Here is an 18,673-nt window from a genome sequence, read left to right as displayed (position 1 = left end):
CTGGGTTCAAGCGATTCTCTTGCCTCAGCCTCCCCAGTAGCTGGGATTACAGATGTGCACTACCATGCCCAGCTAATTTTTATATTTTTAGTAGAGACGGGGTTTCACCATGTTGGCCAGGCTGGTCTTGAACTCCTGACCTCATGATCCACCTGCCTGGGCCTCCCAAAGTGCTGGGATTACACGCATGAGCCACCACGCCCACCCTTTTCCAGATAGTTTATAATTTTAGGTTTTACACTTGTCTTTTATCCATCATGGGTTGCTTTTTGTTTGTGGTGAAAGCAAGGGGTCCAGTTTCAATCTTTTGCATATGGCTAGTCAGTTATCCCAACACCATTTGTTGAGTAGGGAGTCCTTTCTCCATTGCTTGTTTTTGTTGGCTTTGTTGAAGATCAGATGGTTGTAGCTGTGCAGCTTTACTTCTGGGTTCTCTGACCTGTTCCATTGGCCTGTGTGTCTGTTTTCATACCAGGGCCATGCTGCTTTGTTCACTGTAGCCTTGTAGATGGTTTAAGTAGGATAGTGTGACGCCATCAGCTTCATTCTTTTTGTGTAGGATTGCTTTGGCTATCTTCCACATAGCTAGTCCATCACAAGTTGTGCTAATTTTTTCTGCTGTTTCTCAAACCTGTCTCTCCTCTCAATTCTTACTGTCACCCTGGTTTTCAGACCATCAACATCTCTCACCTAAGCTGTGCAGTAGCCTCCTAACTGATCCCTGACATCTTAGTGTTGCCCCTCTGCCCTCACCACTGAAACACAGACTACCTAAAACATAATTATCATGAGACTTCCCTTCTTAAAATCCTTTTTTGACTCTCTATTTCCTATTAAATAATGTCTGTACTTCTTCATGTAATGGACAGGCATCTCCTGTTCCTCTCAGCTCTACATTTGTTACTGTAGTAATAGGTAAATGTTTATAATTTCCCCTGAAGTCCCTCTGCTATTCAGTGCTTCCATGTATTTGTTCATTATGATCTTTTTCTCTGAAACTCCCTCACCACTTTTCCTCCTGGCTAATTATTTACTGTCCTTCAAGCTTAAGCTCAAGCATCATCTTTTTCAGAAAACCTACTTTGAAGTTCCAGAGTGGACCAATGGCCCCTTTTAATGCTCCCCATAGTCATCGTGTTGATCTCTATCTTTTCACTTTAAACATGCTTTTAAACCTACTTCCTGAGTATAAAGTTTGTTATAATTTTAATATTTGTATTTTTCTATGTCTTGTTGTTCTCTTTATGGTTTCTGTTGACTCCTGCTTATGGTAGTTTGACCCTTCAACTCTTTGTTAAATTTTATAAATCGCTCATATTTGTCTAAACTTTAACTTTGGGTTTCCTGAGAGACCAAAACTGAGATGATTTGCTTGGTTTCTGCTTGGCTCTGGAAGCAGGACCAATCAGGAACCATTCTAGTTAGATTTATTGGTTTGAATTTTCTTGGACTATGAGTATGGTGTAAATTCAAATTCCAGCATAAAAGTGAAGCTGGTTAGAAATATTAGGGAAGACTATTAAAATTATTAATGTTTTACAATCCACCGCCTGCAGAGACTGATTTGCTTATGGGTTCACTTGTCATATCCTTCCAGCTTTGTCTTTTCCACTAAATATATAGCCCATTTTGGTGCCTGGATTTATGTGGAGGTCTCAGATTCAGTTTCCTGCTTTGTCAGGTTCAAATCCTGTTAGTCAGTTAACCAGAAAAATTCTAGCTTCCCAGGAATGTGTCAGAGCATTTCAGTGTCCCCTATTGACATCTCATTCCCAGCTTTTTAAAAAAGAAAGTATTTTTATTTTCCTATGGATTGCCCCAATTCCTATGTGCTACCTCAGGCAGCCGCAATATTAACTAACAAAGCTCTAGGTTTTTGGTTTTGGCACACTTCCAGGGCATCTCTGGCTTCTGTGTTGACTGATGACTTTAGTTTCACCTCTAGATTGTTTGCATGCATGCGTGCATGTGTGTGTGTAATCATTTTGTACTTCCTCTACATTTTTGTGAGTTCAGAAATGTATTTAGAAGTATATTTGGGGTCAGGCACAGTGGCTCACACCTGTAATCCCAGCACTTTGGGAGGCTGATGCGGGAGGATCACCTGAGTTCAGGAGTTTGAGACTTTTCTGGCCAACATGGCAAAACCCCATCTCTACTAAAAATACAAAAGTTAGCTGGGCATGGTGGCATGGACCTATAATCCCAGCTACTAGGGAGACTGAAGCAGGAGAGTCGCTTGGACTTGGGAGGCGGAGGTTGCAGTGAGCCGAGACCACGCCATTGCACTCCAGCCTGGGCAACAGAGCGAGACTCTATCTCAAAAAAAATAAATAAATAAATAAATAAAAAGTGTATTTGGAAGTGATGTCAGTAAAAATGGCAAGCTAGGAACCTTCTAAAATTCCTATCTTCATAAAAGCAACTCAGAAAAATAGAAGCAAGTTTTTCAGAACTCTGGAAAATATCTAAAGGTTTGCTCTAATCTTGGAGCATTTATTCAAGAACATAGGCTGAATTTTGGTTAGAATAGTGAGCTTTGTAATGTTCTTATTTGCTCTATGCTCATCACGTCCTCCCAGCTACATGGTAGCCTTGAAAACCAACATCCTACAATCTTGGTGGAAAACAAGCTCCTGGGAGCCATAGAAAGAAACAAAAGGGGGTTGGGACTCATTCCTTTTTTTTCCTTTCTCTCCCACTGTCAGACAGCATGGCCTGTACCGTGCATTCCTTCCTTTGGAGAAATGACGGTAGGTTTCCACATCTGTGTAGTATCTCCTGCTCTGGAGATCACCCTGAGCCCTTGCATCTCCTACCAGGTAAGCCAAGCCCAGTCCAGGCCTGGCTGTGAGCCTGGGCCTGGAACTCAATTTTCCTGAGTCATTATTTACACAACAGAAATAATGAAAGTGTCTACCATGAAGGGATGCTGTGAGGACTAAATGAGCTGTATACATAAAAGGCCTGGCCCAGAATGAGCACTCAGAGATGGTGGATGTAGTTTTTTGTGGGAATAAAATGTTAAGACAGGTTCCCCAAGCTTCATCTGCGTAAAGTTTTAACATGATCTCTGGATGCTTGTCAGATAATTGTCTAGATTAATCACTTGAAAAGCATTACACACACACACACACACACACACACACACACTGTTTTGTGATCTGCTTTTTTCGACAAAACAAAATACTGGAACAAAATTTCATGTTTCAATTCTTCATCTAGATCATAATTGTAAATAGCTAATTGTGTGGTGATATGCAGAGTGATATTTAATCAGTCCCCTATTCTGAAACATTGAGGTGGTTTTCCACTTGTCATTGTTTGAAAAAATTCATGCCAAATGTATTTACAATATTATTCCCCTTACAATATTATTCCCTTGCCAGATTTTCTAGAATACATTTCTAGAAATGGAATTACTGATTTGAAGAATATGCATGTTTTTAAGGTTTTGATTTCTGTTACCACTAGAACCTTGCTAAAATAATTTTACTGAGAAAGTGAGGTGGTACATTTTTGTATGAGGGCCATGTTTTTTATTTTTTAAAAATTGCAGCAAAATACACCGAAGAATGCAGTTTAGTGGTATTAGACATTTATGTTGCTCTGTTACCATTACCACCGCCCATCCTCACACTCTTTTCGTCTTGCAAAGCTGAGACTTTGTATCTATTAAAAATAAGTCCCAAATGAGTTCAAAACTTATGTCCACACAAAGACTTAAACATAAATGCTTATAGCAGCTTTATTCATTAAGTGCTAAAACTTAGAAGCAACTAAGATGTCCTTCAGTAGATGAATGAGTAAATAAACTGTGGTACATACAGACAATGGGATATTCAGCACTAAAAAGAAATGAGGCTGAGGCAGGAGGATGGCTTGAGGCCAGGAGTTAGAGACTAGTCTGGCAACATAGCCAGACCTCATCTCTACAAAAAAAAAAATAATTAAATAAAAAAAAAGAGTTGGGTGTAGTGGTGCACACTGTAGTCCCAGCTACTTAGGCAGCTGAGGTGGGAGAATTGCTTGAGGCCAGGAGTTTGAGGTTGCAGTGAGCTATGATGGTGGCACTGCACTCCAGCCTGGGTGACAGAGTGAGACCCTCTCTCCATGAAGAGACATGGAGAAACTTTTTTTTTTTTTTTTGCTATTTTTTTGTGGAGACAGAGTTTTGCCATGTTGTCCAGGCTGGCCTCAACCTCCTGGGCTCAAGCCATATGCCCACCTCAGCCTCCCAAAGTGCTGGGATTACAGCATTGAGTCACTGTGCCTGGCTGCGAAACAGGAACTTGGGATGCATATTACTAAGTGAAAAAAAACCAATCTGAAAAGGTGACATACTGCATGATTCCAATTACACATTATCGAAGAGGCAAAGCTATGTAAACAGTCAAAAGATCAGTGATTGCCAGGAGTTAGGGAGCGTGAGGAATGAACAGGTGGAGCACTGAGGATTTTGGGCGTCAATAAACAATTCTGTATGATACTATTATGGTGGATACATGTCATTATATATTTGTCCAGACTTACAGAATATGCAACATCAACCGTGAACACTAATATCAACTATGGACTCTGGGTCATAATGATGTGTCAGTGTAGGTGCATTGATGGGAACCAATGTAACACTTTAATATAGGATGTTGACAGTCGGGGAGGCTGCGCATTTGGGGAAAGGGTGAAGGGTACATAGGACCTCTCAGTACTTTGGGCTCATTTTTGCTTTGAACATATAACTGCTTTAGTAAATAAAGTCTGTTAAAAAGTATTTTTAAAAAAGATAATGAATAGATACAAACACCAAGATGACAAAGAAATTCAAATGATTTGATAGATGTCTTAAAGCAGTCATGATAAAAATGCCTCCAATGGCCGGGTGCGGTGGCTCAGGCCTGTAAACCCAGCACTTTGGGAGGCCGAGTGGGGTGGATTATCTGAGGTCAGGAGTTCGAAACTGGCCTGGCCAACATGGCGAAACCCTGTCTCTACTAAAAGTACAAAAATTAGCCAGGCGTAATGGCATGCGCCTGTAGTCCCAGCTACTTGGGAGGCTGAGGCAGGAGAATCACTTGAACCCGGGAGGTGGAGGTTGCAGTGAGCTGAGATCACGCCACTGCACTCCAGCCTGGGCGACAGAGTGAGACTCCATCTCAAAAAAAACAAACAAAAAAAGCCTACAACAAGCAATACAAACATGCTTGCAAAGAAAGAGAAGATACAAAGAAGAGATTGAGAACCGAAAAATAATAATATAAATAACAATATAAACCTCAGCATATGGGCTCAACAGCAGAATGGAAGGGATAGAGAAAATAAATTAGTGAACTTCAAGATAGAACAATACAAATTACCCCAGCTGAAGAACAGAGAGAAAGTGGACTGGAAAAAAAAAGTGAACAGAGTGTCAGGAACCTGTAGGACCAACAAAGGATCTAACATTCAAAACACTGTTGTCCCAGAAGGAGAAGAGAAGGAGAACACGGCAAAATAAGTACTTGAAGAAATAATGACCAAAAATTTTCCAAATTTGATTTGGCAAGAGACATAAACCTACAAATTCAGTGAGCTAAGTGAATTCCAACAGGATAAATCTCCCACATCCATGTCAAGACACATCCATAATTCAACTCCTGGGGTCACCAGGCTGAGGTGGCAAACATACTAACTGTGATTTGTGCAGAGCAAAATTATTTCCATTTATAGAGGAAGAGACTGAGATTCAGAAGGGTTCTGTCTTGCCCAAGAATACAGATCTTGGCAGAGCTCACCACAAGGCCAACGGAAGCCATGGAGAGCGCTGTGAACTGTGGGAATTGCTGCAGGTGACATCTAAAAGGAGATTTATTGAGGATCAAGGCAGAGGTCCCCAGAGGACAAACTGTACATCTGATTCCTTCCTCCTGCTTTTCTTCCTGGCCGAAATAGATGATTGAATTCATCTTTCTTCTGGCACCTTGTCTCAGAGACTTCCCTTGCCACAGTTCCAGACCCATCCAGGCCATGACTGCCATGTAGACGACACACCTCTCTGCTCACAAATAACTGGCCAAGCCTGAGGTAGCCAGGTTTTGGAGCATTGATAATATGGGTTTTTCCTGTGTTGCCCCTAAACATGTTGTTTCATTTTGTCCCCTTGTCATGGGGTCTTCACAGAACTCCTGCCTTAGAGGATAAGGAGAGACTCTTGCTGTAGCAACTGTAGACACCGGTGTGCACTAAATAGGGAGGTGAACCTTGGCAGAAGATGGAAAATTTTTTTGGAGAAGGGGATTTTTGGATCAGTGCTTGTGGCTCTGACTCTCTTTCTGAAAGGGAATACCCAAGAACATGAGGATTTTCTGTATCTAGAGCTTGAAGACTAGCCTTCTCCAGTATTTTGCGCTCTTCCTTAAACGATCACAATATAGTCTGAGGTCAGCTTTCTTCAAACAGGAATGACCTTACAGGCAGAGAAGATAGCTATAGGTGGAGACTGTTACCTCATACTGTAGACTCAGATGTGTAGGATAGGTTCAGATCCAGCTGCCCAAGCTCAATTTGGAGGACATGCCATTCTTGGTACTGTTCATTCTGAACTATAAATTTCTTTGTCTGCTTCTCTAAGACATCTTTCTGTCTTGTGTTTACTGCTTAGCACACCAAACCACTGTCCTTCAATTATGATAACAGTGAATCATTTCTGTGTGCTTACTATATACCACATAACTTAGTATACAGCCTGTAACTCATATAAGTTAAGAATTTTTTCTTCATTTTATCATCACAACCACCTTGGAATTGCCCATTTTCCAGATGATCAAATGAGGTTTCTGGAGGTGAAGTGACTCTTCCATCTCCCAGAGCAGCAGCTCCCAGCCAGAGTCGGCTCTGCCTGCACCCAAGACCTTGGCAAAGCAACCAGAGCCAGAAAGAACCACGAGAGAAGCTTTCAATGACTTTCAGCCACTTTGTCCCCCTTTGTTTCTCTTCTCCTCTCCTGCATTTTTCTCCATCTCCAGGTACAGTTCAGGATGTGGATGCCTGTCCCCACACAAAAACACTTGGGATTCATTCCTCATACCACAATTCATCCCGATTTTCCCCCCTTTAAAGTCAGATCTCACCTACCTGTTTGGTCAGAGATGTGTGTTTTAAAATCCCCAAGGAAGGAGGCAGGGACTGTGCCCTGAGATGATTGTTGGTGAAGTGGATTTATGCCTAATTTCAGTTTAAGAGAATGTTGCTGTGTCTCTGCCTAGGACAGGCAGCCCGCTGTGGCCCTGGGTGATGAGGAAAGGCCACAGAGGCCCAGGGTTTTATCACCTGTGGCTGCCAGTGTCTGCAGAGCCAGAATTGAGCTAATCCATGAAAGAATGAGCGCTGGTGGGCAGTTGTATGGCAGGTTGCTATGGGGCTTCTTGATCTCTCAAATTCCAGGTGACAAGATCAATGCATCCTTGAGGGGCCCCTTCCCAGCAGGCTCTGGTGGCTACAAACTGGTTCAGGTGTGGAAGATCATACCACTTTACCTTTGGTTTTTCTTTGAAAAGCAAACAACGAAAGACAGATGAAAACAAGAATTCTACCCGTGGGCAGGCAAGAATTCTCTTCGGGAAAAGGGATGTTTGTGGCTCTTCCACACATTGGCCTTGAAAGAGGTTGTTTGCAGAGTGGCTATTATTAAAATGTCCAAAAAATAGAAAATGCTGGTGAGGCTGCAGAGGAAAGGGAATGCTTATACACTGTTGGCCAGAGTGTAAATTAGTTCATGGAAAAATTATAAAGAAAGCAGTTTGGAGATTTCTGAAATAATTTAAAACAGAACTACCATTCCACCCAGCAATTCCTTTACTGGGCATTTACCCAAAGGAAAATAATTGTTCTGCCAAAAATACACATGCTCTTGCATGTCCATCACAGCAGTATTCACAATAGCAAAGCCATGGAATGAACCTAGGTGGCCATCAGCGGTAGACTGGATAAAGGAAATGTGGTACATATACACCATGGAATACTATGCAGCCATGAAAAGAATGAAATCATGTCCTTTGCAGCAACATGGATGGAGCTGGAGACCATAATCCTAAGCAAATTAACATAGGAATGGAAAACCAAATATCATATTCTCATGTATAAGTGGGAGCTGAGCACTGGGTACACATGGATGTAAGACGGGAACAGTAGACACTGCAACTACTAGAGGGAAGAGAGAAGGAGGGTGGAAAGGGCTGAAAAACTACCTATTGGGTACTGTGCTCACTGCCTGAGTGACGAGATCATTTGTGCCCCAAACCTCAGCATCACACAATATACCCGTGTAACAAACCTACACGTGTACCCCCTGAATCTAAAATAAAAGTTGAAATAATTTTTTTAAAACATAGGGCCTGGGCCAGAAGCGGTGGCTCATGCCTGTAATCCCAGCACTTTGCATCACTTGAGGTCAGGAGTTCAAAACCAGCCTTGCCAACATGGTGAAACCCTGTCTCTACTAAAAACACACACACAAAAAATTAGCTGGGCACGGTGGTGCACGCCTGTAATCCCAGCTACTTGGGAGGCTGAATCACTTGAGCCCTGGAGGCGGAGGTTATAGTGAGCAGAGATCATGCCATGGCATTCCAGCCTGGCTGTAGTTGAGCCAGAAGGAGATATTTTGTGTGAAGGCTGAGGTGGGGGCTCTTCAGAGCCTCTGTGAGCAGGAGGCCTAAGCCGTGGTGGTGGACAGAGTTGTAGCTTTCTGCCTCTTTGCCCTTTGGCATGGACCCACAGGTGAACAGTACCAGCCTCCATCCCCAGCACACGCTCTGCAGACCTTCACGTCTCACAGTTCCATGTGAGCAAATGGACTGGGAAAGCTGTGTGGCCTGAGAAAAGGCAATGCCATGGCCTGGCTCTCACACAGTATTTTGTCTTGGATTTTGAAAAAGCCTTTTTTTTTTTAAATTTAATTTAATTTTTTTTTTTTTTTTTTTGCTTGTTTTGTGTTTTTGGTGGTGGTGGTGGTGGTGGTTTATTTCACACTGACCACTTGGAACAAATCCCATGGTTATCTGTGATTTTCATGCCCTGTTTCTGCTGGCAACCCTTCTGAGTGGGGTGACTCACTTTCCTGTATAAAGAGTTTGAGTAGCCCAGGTAGGAGGTGGAAGCAGCCATCTGGAAGGCCATTGGGATCCTTATGTCTGTCTCTTGGCTTCAGATAACCAGCTGGGCTTTGATAGGAATGATCTGAATGGAGACAGAAAACAGTGAAAACTAACGCTCCCCGCCCAGCCCTGTTTATATGAAGCATTTGGTTCCTCTCTTGACTCTTGAGTGATGATGAGATTCAGACGAGGCATTGACATTATGGTAAGAAAGGGAGAAAATGTATCTGTCTTGTCTGTCTATCTATCTACTGGATATATAGCTCCAAAAGCAGACAAACCCAAGGCCGTAAGGTGAACTAGGGTCTGCGTTTGGACTCCATGAAAACAAAATCCATGTTGAACAAAGTGATGTTTGTATGCAGTGACATTCTGGGTGACCCGTGTGTATCTGTCCATCGTGTGCAAGCCCTGAGCCCTGTTTCCCTCGGAAGATAGTGAGTGGTAGCCATCTCCTCACACGAACCACACATGTGGAGCACAGATGGCCCTCTCAAGGTAATTGATCTTACACATTTACTGTTCACCAAACAAGTGTCTGATGCATACTTGGGTATATTCCACAGCATGTGGACTGCGGTCCCCTGTGTTTGCCAGGAATGCTGTGCTCCATGTAGAGGTTTTCCTCTACTCCTCACTGCAATTTGCATGCTGCTCCATGGACACTTGGAGGCCTGTGCTCTGTTCCCTGTAACTGGAAATGTGCTCTGAACTTGTCTGTCTCCCTTGGCTGCTCCTGGCCCTTGGTACCAGCTCCCATGGGTGTCCACAACCACTTGGGACAGAAGGTAAAGGTGGAATTTCAAAGAGAAGCTTGCTTGGATCTTCAGTGACAAGCTTGGATGAGCTACATCCCTAACATGGGCCCTCTCAGAATTGCCAGGAGGAGGCTTTGGCAGGTGTCACAGGTGTCACGGGGCCTGCCCTCCTCTGCTGCGTGCAGTGGATGCAAGCCAGCCAACGTGTGGCCAGAGTGGCTGGATGGTGTCACAGCCCTCAGATGTCTTTCCTTCCACGTTTTTAAAAGAGTCCCAAATAACTCACTTGAAGTGTCTCAAAGGTGAGCAAGTTTTATGAAAATGAATCCTTCCTCAGTTAATTGATCAAATGGGTGAATCTTGACCCTCTCTAATTTCTATCCCAGGTCAGAGTGGGGAGCTGGTGTTAGCTGTGGGATTCACTGCAGCGTCCTACCACAAAGGCAAAGAAGATGAAAATGCAGCGTGCAGTGCTGGGCTTGATTCCCAAGTCGCAGTCGGGCTCCCGCTATGGTAGGTGGAACATCTCTCTAGCCTGCTCACAGAGATGGAACTAGGGAATTGAGGGAAGAGTTAGGGGGCCAGGGAGATTTACTTGAGTCTGATTTTCCAGGTGAATGAGAAGGGAGGGCTTGGTGCTGACACATTCTTGGGAGAGGCATGTCATCACCAACAGCATTTGTCATGATTGTTGTATTTTAGCAATAAGATTCAGCTCGTCAGATTTTTTGGGCCACCTCGAAGATGCTGACACATTTTCTGTGCTGTGATTGTTCGAAGGCAGAGTAGCTCTAACCACTGTGAGAAGCCCAAAGAAAAATCAATACCACCCACCCAAAGACCACCTTTCTGAAACACTTTTCTCTAGAAAACAGTGCCCCTTTTGTCCTAAGCTTCGTATTATTTTTGGATTCCATCTCTTTGTATATGCTACTCTAGTGTACCATGGAACACATTTTGGGAGCTGGCGGCTCTGCTTACCCTTCAGGGGGACAGCCCTGTCTGACCTGAGATTGGAGGATGCTTTCCAGTGTGAAGGAGTGTGAGGGAGCCGGCACAGACACAGAGTGAGAGCAGGGCCACTTTATTGGTATAGAGACTGCAGAGGGACCGGGGGCTTTAGCTGTTGGCAGCGATGGTGTCCTTAATCCAGTCCACATAGTTGTAGACCTTGGTGTAGACTCCAGGCCTGTTCTTCCAGGCACAGCCATGGCCCCAGGAGACAACTCCTTGGAGCTGTCCGTTGCAGACCACAGGGCCACCAGAGTCACGCTGGGGAGAAGAAGGGACAAGTTGTATAAAGAGAGAGATGGAGGAGGAATATAGCTACATTTACTGTGAACCTTAAAAGACCCCTTTCCAGCCAGCTCTGTGGCTCCACGTCCTTCCCACGGTGGCCCATTCTCTGTTCTTCCTAAGCAGGCAGCGTGCAGCACAAGGGAGCCTCCCTCATTTCCCAATGGGGGCACTGCAGGGAGCCTCCTCAGCCCCGCCACCTTCCTCGTTTCTCCATGGGGGCAATGCAGGGAGCCGCCTCAGCCCCGCCACCTTCCTCATTTCTCCATGGGAGCACTGCAGGGAGCCGCCTCAGCCCTGCCACCTTGGGAGTTCAAATCTTTTTCCCCGGTGGGGCCTGGGTATCGGTGGGAGCCTCAGCATGGGAAAGGGTCAAATCACCTGGCAGGAATCCTTGCCTCCCTCAAGGAAGCCCACACAGAACATGCTGTTGGTAATCTTTCCAGGGTAGGAGGCTTTACACTCAGCCTGGGTCAGCACCGGAGCATCCAGGCACTTCAGCTCGTCTGGGTAGTCAGCTGTGAGGATCAGGAAGAGATCAAAGAAAGTAGAAATGTGGGTGAGGCCAGAGAAGGAGACAATAATCTGGGATGGAACATTGAAGAGGAACACTGCCTCTGGAGAGGACTCCAAAACGTAAGTTCTGGCAAGGGACTCTGGCTTTTAGTTTCCAGAATGATCATTGTTGAACCCCTCCCAAGACGTGATCACAGCAAGTTCTCCATTTGTCCTATCTCTTGATTTTAGGAGCCAAGTCCTTGAGACTTTGCATCTCTCTGGTGCCCAGTGCAGAGACTGTGTGTAATGGGCACTAGAAATGTGTCTTAAGCCGGGAGGCAAGAGGATTCAAATAAAGGGGCATGCTTCGTTCTGGAAATTGTGAGGATGGGGGGAAGTAGAAGGACAAAGGGTCCCACTCACCACCAAAGCTCAGAGTGTTGCCCCAGCCGGAGATGAGGCACTCAGTGCCAGCAGCTGGAGGGGTGGTGGGCAGAGAGATGGTGGACACGCGGGCATTGATGACGGCAGGTGAGGAGAGTTTGATCAGCATGATGTCATTGTCCAGAGTGTCCCTGTTGTATTTAGGGTGGCGGATGATCTTGGCCGCATTGATGAACTGCTCATTCCCCTCCAGGACTTTGATGTTGTGCTCTCCCAGTCTCACCTGGATGCGGCTGATGGGCAGGGCAGGCATGGTGAAGACCTTCTCCCACAGCCTGGGCACCCCTCCCACCTTCCCCAGGGTCCTCAAGCTCACTGCTCATGGATAGCTCTGGAGGCATGGGGTGGGGTGTGTGGCCATATTGCATGGGCAGGAGAGGGATGTGGGTCAGTGCAGGTGTGAGACCCAGGACCTTTCTGCTTCAGAGGCTGGTGGTAGTGGGGTGGGGAAGAGTCAAAGGGATCCCACCAGAGGCTGCTCCTCAACCTGCCTTCCCAGCCTCTTTCCCACAAATCTCCACAGTCACTAGCACTGTGGGCACAAAGAGCTCCTCGTAGTTTTCCCAGCATTCTTCACCCCAGGTCTTTGCTAACTGCGCACAGCGCCTGTTCCTCCCTCCCTTCTTGGCCTAGTGAGCACCACCCTTCTGTGTAATCTAATCCAAGGGTAGCCATAGCATTAGCATCTCCTGGGAACTTGTTAGAAATGTAAATTCTTGGTCCTTACCCCCACCCGCTGATCAGAACCTTGGGGATGGGACCCAGTGATTTGTGCTTTAATAAGCCTGCAGGTGGTTTTGACGCATACTCAGGTTTGAGAGTTCTTCGTGTAGGCAGCGGTTCTCAGCTCTGTCTATACACTCTACAGTTACCAGAGGTAGAGTGTTAAATACTCACTGGTATTCACACTGTCTTCCTGAGAAGTTTGAGTTAATTGCCCTGGGGTAGGACACAGGCATCAGTATTTTCAAAAACTCTGTCTTAGGTCGCTTTAATGTGTAGCTAACCAGCAAAAGGTACTTGCCTGCTTTTGTCACTAGCTCTGACAACTCCAAGATTATCCCTGCCTGCTTTTATGACCACAACCCTTGCTGTTTCATGGATTGGCCTTGCTCTGGAGAGTCAGCTGCTGTCAACAAGTTTTCTTTTCCACCACCTCTCCCATCCGTCTTACCCAACCTCAGTACTTCCCTGGGCTGAAGCCAAGCTCTCCCAGGCAGCCTGGCTGGGAGCTTTGCAGTCAGGGGCCCCACACTTACGTCTTGTAGCAGTGAGCTGCTGATACCACCCACTGTTCGCTGATGAGGGAGCCACCGCAGAAGTGGGAGCCAGAATTCAGGGACACCTGGTAGGGGAGAGAATTCTCCTCACAGGTGTAGCCCCCAACAATCTTGTCATCATCGTCAAAGGGGACAGCAACTGGAGTGGAAATAGGAAGGGAGAAGGCAAGTCAGTAGCATGTTAGGGGTGGTGCTCCCAGCCTGCGGTTGCTTCCTGCCAATTAGAAATCCTTAACAAGCCCAGTGAGGCCAGGCAAGGGAGGGAGCGCTGCCACCCCTGGTGAGCATCACTGGATGTGGCTCCCAAGTCTCTGTGTCTGCAGGGCACGTAGCTAGGTACCCTGCAGGGGCTCAGATCTCTCCTGGGGACACCAGGCTGAGGATGCAAGGAATGTCCTCAAAATGCTTCCAGTGGGGTAGCAGTTGGTATGTTGTTGTCTCACCCACTGAGTGCTTCTCTCTTTTATTCATCACCTGTGTACTTGCCCTGGCTATTTGAGCCCTGGATTGTCAGGATACTTTGGCTAAGCTAGGAAAACCCCCTGTCTGGGTAGACCTGGCCATGACTAGCTTCCCCCATAGCTCAGATCTGTGCAGTGAGGGCAGAGTTGAGGGCAGCCCCAGGCTCACTTTGGCATAACAAAGGTAGACTTTGTTATTGGCCAATAGAAGAGCAATTCTTAACTTTGGCGGCATGCCTGGAAACGTTAAAAATCACCTGGGAAGCTTAAAAGCCCAGTACACAGGCTGCACCCCAGACAAATGAAGTTAGAACTTCTAGAGTTGAATCTCTGGCATGAGTAATTTTTGAACCTCCCCAGGTGCATTCGAGGTTAAGAGCAGCTATAGTGGTGCTATACTGGTGCTCTTGGAGCCAAGCCTGAAGCCTGCCACTTCATTTCATGGGCCAGCCCCACCTGGTCTCCCTTCCCAGCTTCTCCAACCACAGCTCGGATATGGATGAATGACAGTGGTGGGAGTGAAATGAGGGAAAAGGTGAAACAGGTGAGGCTTAAAGAGAGCCCAAGGAGGATGGGAAGGAGATATGTCAGATGGAGGAAATAGAATATCAGAGCGCAGTCAAAAGAGGAGAGGTGGCAAGAATGGCAGGGCATGTGTCTGCCAGGAAAGGGGGTGGGTGGGGCCTGAGGCAGGTCATGAAACTCGCCAGCAGCTCCCACAAAGGCAAGGATCAGGAATGGATTCATGGTGGTAGAGTGTGCCTGACTGGTGGTGGAAGGCCTGTCCTTATACCCTTCCAAGAATCAGGAGAGGAGGTGTCTGTGAGGTGAGGGTCACAGTTCTTCCCAGCACAAACACACCTGCAGCTTTCCCCTTGCCAGGGTCTTGCATCAGCTCGGCTACGTTTGGCCACTCTGTGGGTTTGTGATTCACAGGTGATAAGGAAACTTGCCTTCTGAGAGCAGAGAGGGAGACTGGCTATTTCCTGGAAGGATGCTGGGATGGGGAAGACAGGGGAAACCAATCCCCGGATCACACAGCTGGGCTTTCGTAGGCCGAGGAGATGAGGGTTAGAAGGAGGGAGAATGGCCTGGGTGTCTAGGAGTCCTTTTAACTATTGGGGATGTATTTAATAATGTACTTAAGGAAGGGCAAGCATTGGTAACAAGCTTGGCTTTTCAGTTTCCTGGAGCCCCCACGAGAGGAGGAAAGTCTTATCTAAGGCTCATTTTTGTGAATATGAATATGCTTCTTTGCAGTCACTGTGCACAAAGGTCAAATCCAAGACTTTGGGTATCCAGAATTCCAACACTAAGGGGTAAGGAGAAGGGAGACTTAGCATTCCATAGGATTCTGGGCTTCCAGATGGCTCTCCTTCCTACCAAGGCTTAAAAGGATGGGAAGTGTTTCAAAGAAGGAGGGGACACAGGTTAGGTAGGAGCTTACTCAGTGCATCTGGAGGATGGAAAACCAATGGCGCACTCCTCCCCTTCTTCAATGTGAAGCCACTTGTCTCTCTCATGTGCATCCTGTCATAGGTTCTTTTTATGCAGCCTCACGGTTGTCCTGGCAACCTGCACTTAGGGTGATGCAAACTGACTCACCTGCTCAGGGCTGACAGCCTGAACCAGAATGACATGCCCCTGATCAGATGTCAGAGTTTGGACCATGGTAAATCTGGGTTACCATCTGATCTGAGAATCAGCAGTAGGTAGAGATTTTAGCACATGGTAAATGGGTCACATATTGGGATCAATAAGAAGATGTGGAGGGGTGGGTCTAGAATTTTCTATTTTAGATGCAGTGAGATTATGCTGGGCTTAGTATCAAGTGAATCTTCCCAGAGAATATCCTGATTTGGGCCCTACCAAGGCTACTAAGACACAGTTGTGTAATTGACTGAGGCACAACCTGGCCAGAGTAGTGTGGAGATGGAGATGCTGTCTGTGATCAAGTCTAATGATGTAAGGAAAGGAGGAGCTTCCTTATGAGGGTGCTTTCCCTTCTCAGCAACTCTGAGCTCAGGTTGGTGATGGGCAGGAGTGAGCAGAGTTCAAGTTTAAATTCTTTGAAAAGTAAAAGAAGCAGAGATGTTCTGGAGATGGTGAACAAAATGAGAAAAGCTCAGAAACTTCGTGTTGAGATCGGACATGGCCAGGGGGCTAGAGGGAGGAAGCAAATGGAAACCAGAGGGAATTGGAAAAAATGCGAATGTGGGGCCCGTGGAGTTGAGAGGACACACAGAGTACCTTCAGGTTCAGCTCCTGGCATGGCCAACGAGCCAGCTTCCCCAAAGCCAGGAGATCCACTGCTCAGAGACCCGCTCTCCACCCCACATCCCCTCTAATCACTGATGGGCTCATACCTAACACTGCTGTACTTAGATGGTGCATGGTGCCTGACAGCTTTACAAGAGTTTTCACATAAGCAACAGTGGTACATTGCTTTTCAGTTATGCTGAGTTTCACAGTTTGACTTCCCACAAACATGCTAATTGTGATTTGTGCAGAGCAAAATTATTTCCATTTATAGAGGAAGAGACTGAGATTCAGAAGGATTCTGTCTTGCCCAAGAATACAGATCTTGGCAGAGCTCACCATAAGGCCAACGGAAGCCATGGAGATCATTGTGAACTGTGGGAATTGCTGCAGGTGACATCTAAAAGGAGATTTATTGAGGATCAAGGCAGAGGTCCCCAGAGGACAAACTGTGCATCTGATTCCTTCCTCCTGCTTTTCTTCCTGGCAGAAATAGATGATTGAATTCATCTTTCTCCTGGCACCTTGTCTCAGAGACTTCCCTTGCCACAGTTCCAGACCCATCCAGGCCATGACTGCCATGTAGATGACACACCTCTCTGCTCACAAATGACTGGCCAAGCCTGAGGTATCCAGGTTTTGGAGCATTGATAATATGGGTTTTTCCTGTGTTGCCCCTAAACATGTTGTTTCATTTTGTCCCCTTGTCATGGGGTCTTCACACAACTCCTGCCTTAGAGGATAAGGAAAGGCTCTTGCTGTAGCAACTGTAGACACCAGTGTGCACTAAATAGGGAGGTGAACCTTGGCAGAAGATGGAAACTTTTTTTGGAGAACGGGATTTTTGGATCAGTGCTTGTGGCTCTGACTCTGTCTGAAAGGAACACCCAAGAATATGAGGATTTTCTGTATCTAGAGCTTGAAGATTAGCCTTCTCCAGTATTTTGCGCTCTTCCTTAAATGATCACAGTATAGTCTGAGGTCAGCTTTCTTCAAAAAGGAATGACCTTACAGGCAGAGAAGATAGCTATAGGTGGAGACTGTTACCTCATACTGTAGACTCAGATGTGTAGGATAGGTTCAGATCCAGCTGCCCAAGCTCAATTTGGAGGACATGCCATTCTTGGTACTCTTCATCCTGAACTAGAGATTTCTTTGTCTTCTTCTCTAAGACATCTTTCTGGCTTGTACTGAGTGCTTAGCACATCAAACCACTGTCCTTCAATTTTGATAACAGTGAATCAATTCTGTGTGCTTACTATATACCATGTTACTATACAGCATGTAACTCATATAAGTTAAGAATTTTTTCTTCATTTTACATTACAACCACTTATGCGATTGCCCATTTTCCAGGTGATTAAATGAGCTTTCTGGAGGTAAAGTGACTTGCTCAAGGCCACACAGCCAGTAGGTTTTAAAGATGGGATGTAAGTATGGTGGTCTGACTCTAGGGCCTCCATGCTCTGCCATAGGGCATTCTGCTTTGCCTCCTCTGAGCTGATCCTTGGTGCACCCTCACTGAGGTGGTAGGCAGCAGATATTGTTCTCTCCTTTTTACAAATCAACAATCTAAAACTCAGAGTTCAAATGACTTCTCCAGCAAAGATCATACTAGAACCTTCCCTATTCAGACAAAGTTTGTTCCTCTTCACGTTGCTACATGAGTCTTTCAGACCTCATAGTAGTCTGAAAAGTGTCAGATTCCAAATTCTTTTTTTTTTAACACTTTCTTCTCCAAATCCCACCAGATCTTTCTCCTAAGCTCTTAGTCAACTCCTCCTTGGGTTCCAGCATCCTTTATCATTCTGCAAACAGATTGTCAGATTTTAGGCTGTCTTCCCGCCAAACTCCCAGCTCCTCTCCTCATCCATTATTTTTCTTTTTTTCTAAGCTTCTTATCTCCCCCACGGCACAATTTCGCTTTATCCAATAAGGAATTGTTTTTGTTACTATCTCATCCCAGGAATCACTGAATCTGGAGAGTGAAGGGAGTGCTCTGTATGATCCAGAAAAGTCTGACTTGTAATATGGAGTCGCAGAGCATGAACTGGTCAAGGCTGATCAGCTAAATGGAGTAGCCCATTCCTCCCTGCCTGCCTCCTGCCCCTCCTCTTGCCTGCCCCTTGCCCCTCCTTCTGCCTGCCCAGCTGCTCCCCACCTTGAAGCCATGGAAGACATGCAAGTTTTATGCCCGGAGGGAAGTTTATAGTTCTGTTTATTCTTCAGGCTTCCATGTATGGGTAAATGGGGAAGCCTCTAGCACTTGAGACTAAACCTAAATTATTTTAAGGATAGATTGATTGCTGTAATATAATGGTGAGTCTTTCTGTTCACATTTCAGCCACTCCTTGACCACTCTCTTGTTTGGCCTATTAGAGCTGCTTAAGTGAGTCCAGGCTCCCTTAGACAGGAAGCAGAAGAAAGCCAGGACAGAGTGCAGGAGAAACACCCATATAGATTCTTATGATTGTAACATCTAGGATCTGTTTCATGATACTCAGAGTTTAATATATGGTGTATGTATTTATTTTTCTAAATTATAC

The 18,673-nt window shown here is 45.7% G+C and overlaps 1 protein-coding gene and 1 long non-coding RNA gene across 21 annotated transcripts in view, besides 1 other annotated feature; one reads left to right on the top strand and one right to left on the bottom strand.

Annotated features, from left to right (window-relative positions):
* Window positions 1–18,673, top strand: part of UBE2R2-AS1 (UBE2R2 antisense RNA 1) — a 94,784-nt gene that overhangs the window by 8,680 nt on the left and 67,431 nt on the right. For 9 of the 15 annotated variants that reach the window (NR_170203.1, NR_170205.1, NR_170216.1 and 6 more), the window contains exons 2-3: window positions 10,276–10,402; window positions 11,632–11,821. This is a non-coding gene — a long non-coding RNA (UBE2R2 antisense RNA 1). Of the gene's footprint in view, window positions 1–10,275; window positions 10,407–11,631; window positions 11,822–18,673 lie in introns of all 15 variants that reach the window. The other 6 variants (NR_170204.1, NR_170202.1, NR_170208.1 and 3 more) reach the window with 2 other exon arrangements.
* The window catches only part of PRSS3 (serine protease 3), a 48,553-nt gene continuing 40,837 nt past the window's right edge, over window positions 10,958–18,673 (bottom strand). For 3 of the 6 annotated variants that reach the window (XM_011517965.2, NM_007343.4, NM_001197098.1), the window contains 4 exon segments: window positions 13,387–13,546; window positions 12,107–12,360; window positions 11,567–11,703; window positions 10,958–11,161 (listed from right to left, as the gene is read on the bottom strand). In XM_011517965.2, coding sequence (XP_011516267.2) covers window positions 11,009–11,161; window positions 11,567–11,703; window positions 12,107–12,236 — 420 coding nt within the window. In that variant the 5' untranslated portion in view covers window positions 12,237–12,360; window positions 13,387–13,546 and the 3' untranslated portion in view covers window positions 10,958–11,008. 6 annotated transcript variants of the gene reach the window in all.
* Window positions 13,579–14,079: an enhancer, noted in NCBI's record as "H3K4me1 hESC enhancer chr9:33796108-33796608 (GRCh37/hg19 assembly coordinates)". NCBI's record gives its function as "activates a minimal SCP1, AML or CMV promoter by ChIP-STARR-seq in naive H9 embryonic stem cells {active_cell/tissue: H9 hESC(naive)}" and the evidence as "EXISTENCE:reporter gene assay evidence [ECO:0000049][PMID:30033119]".

This window comes from Homo sapiens, chromosome 9, assembly GCF_000001405.40.
Source record: "Homo sapiens chromosome 9, GRCh38.p14 Primary Assembly".
NCBI lineage: Eukaryota > Metazoa > Chordata > Mammalia > Primates > Hominidae > Homo > Homo sapiens.
Note: the sequence above shows the minus strand (reverse complement) of the source record. Positions and strands in the feature narration are given on the sequence as shown.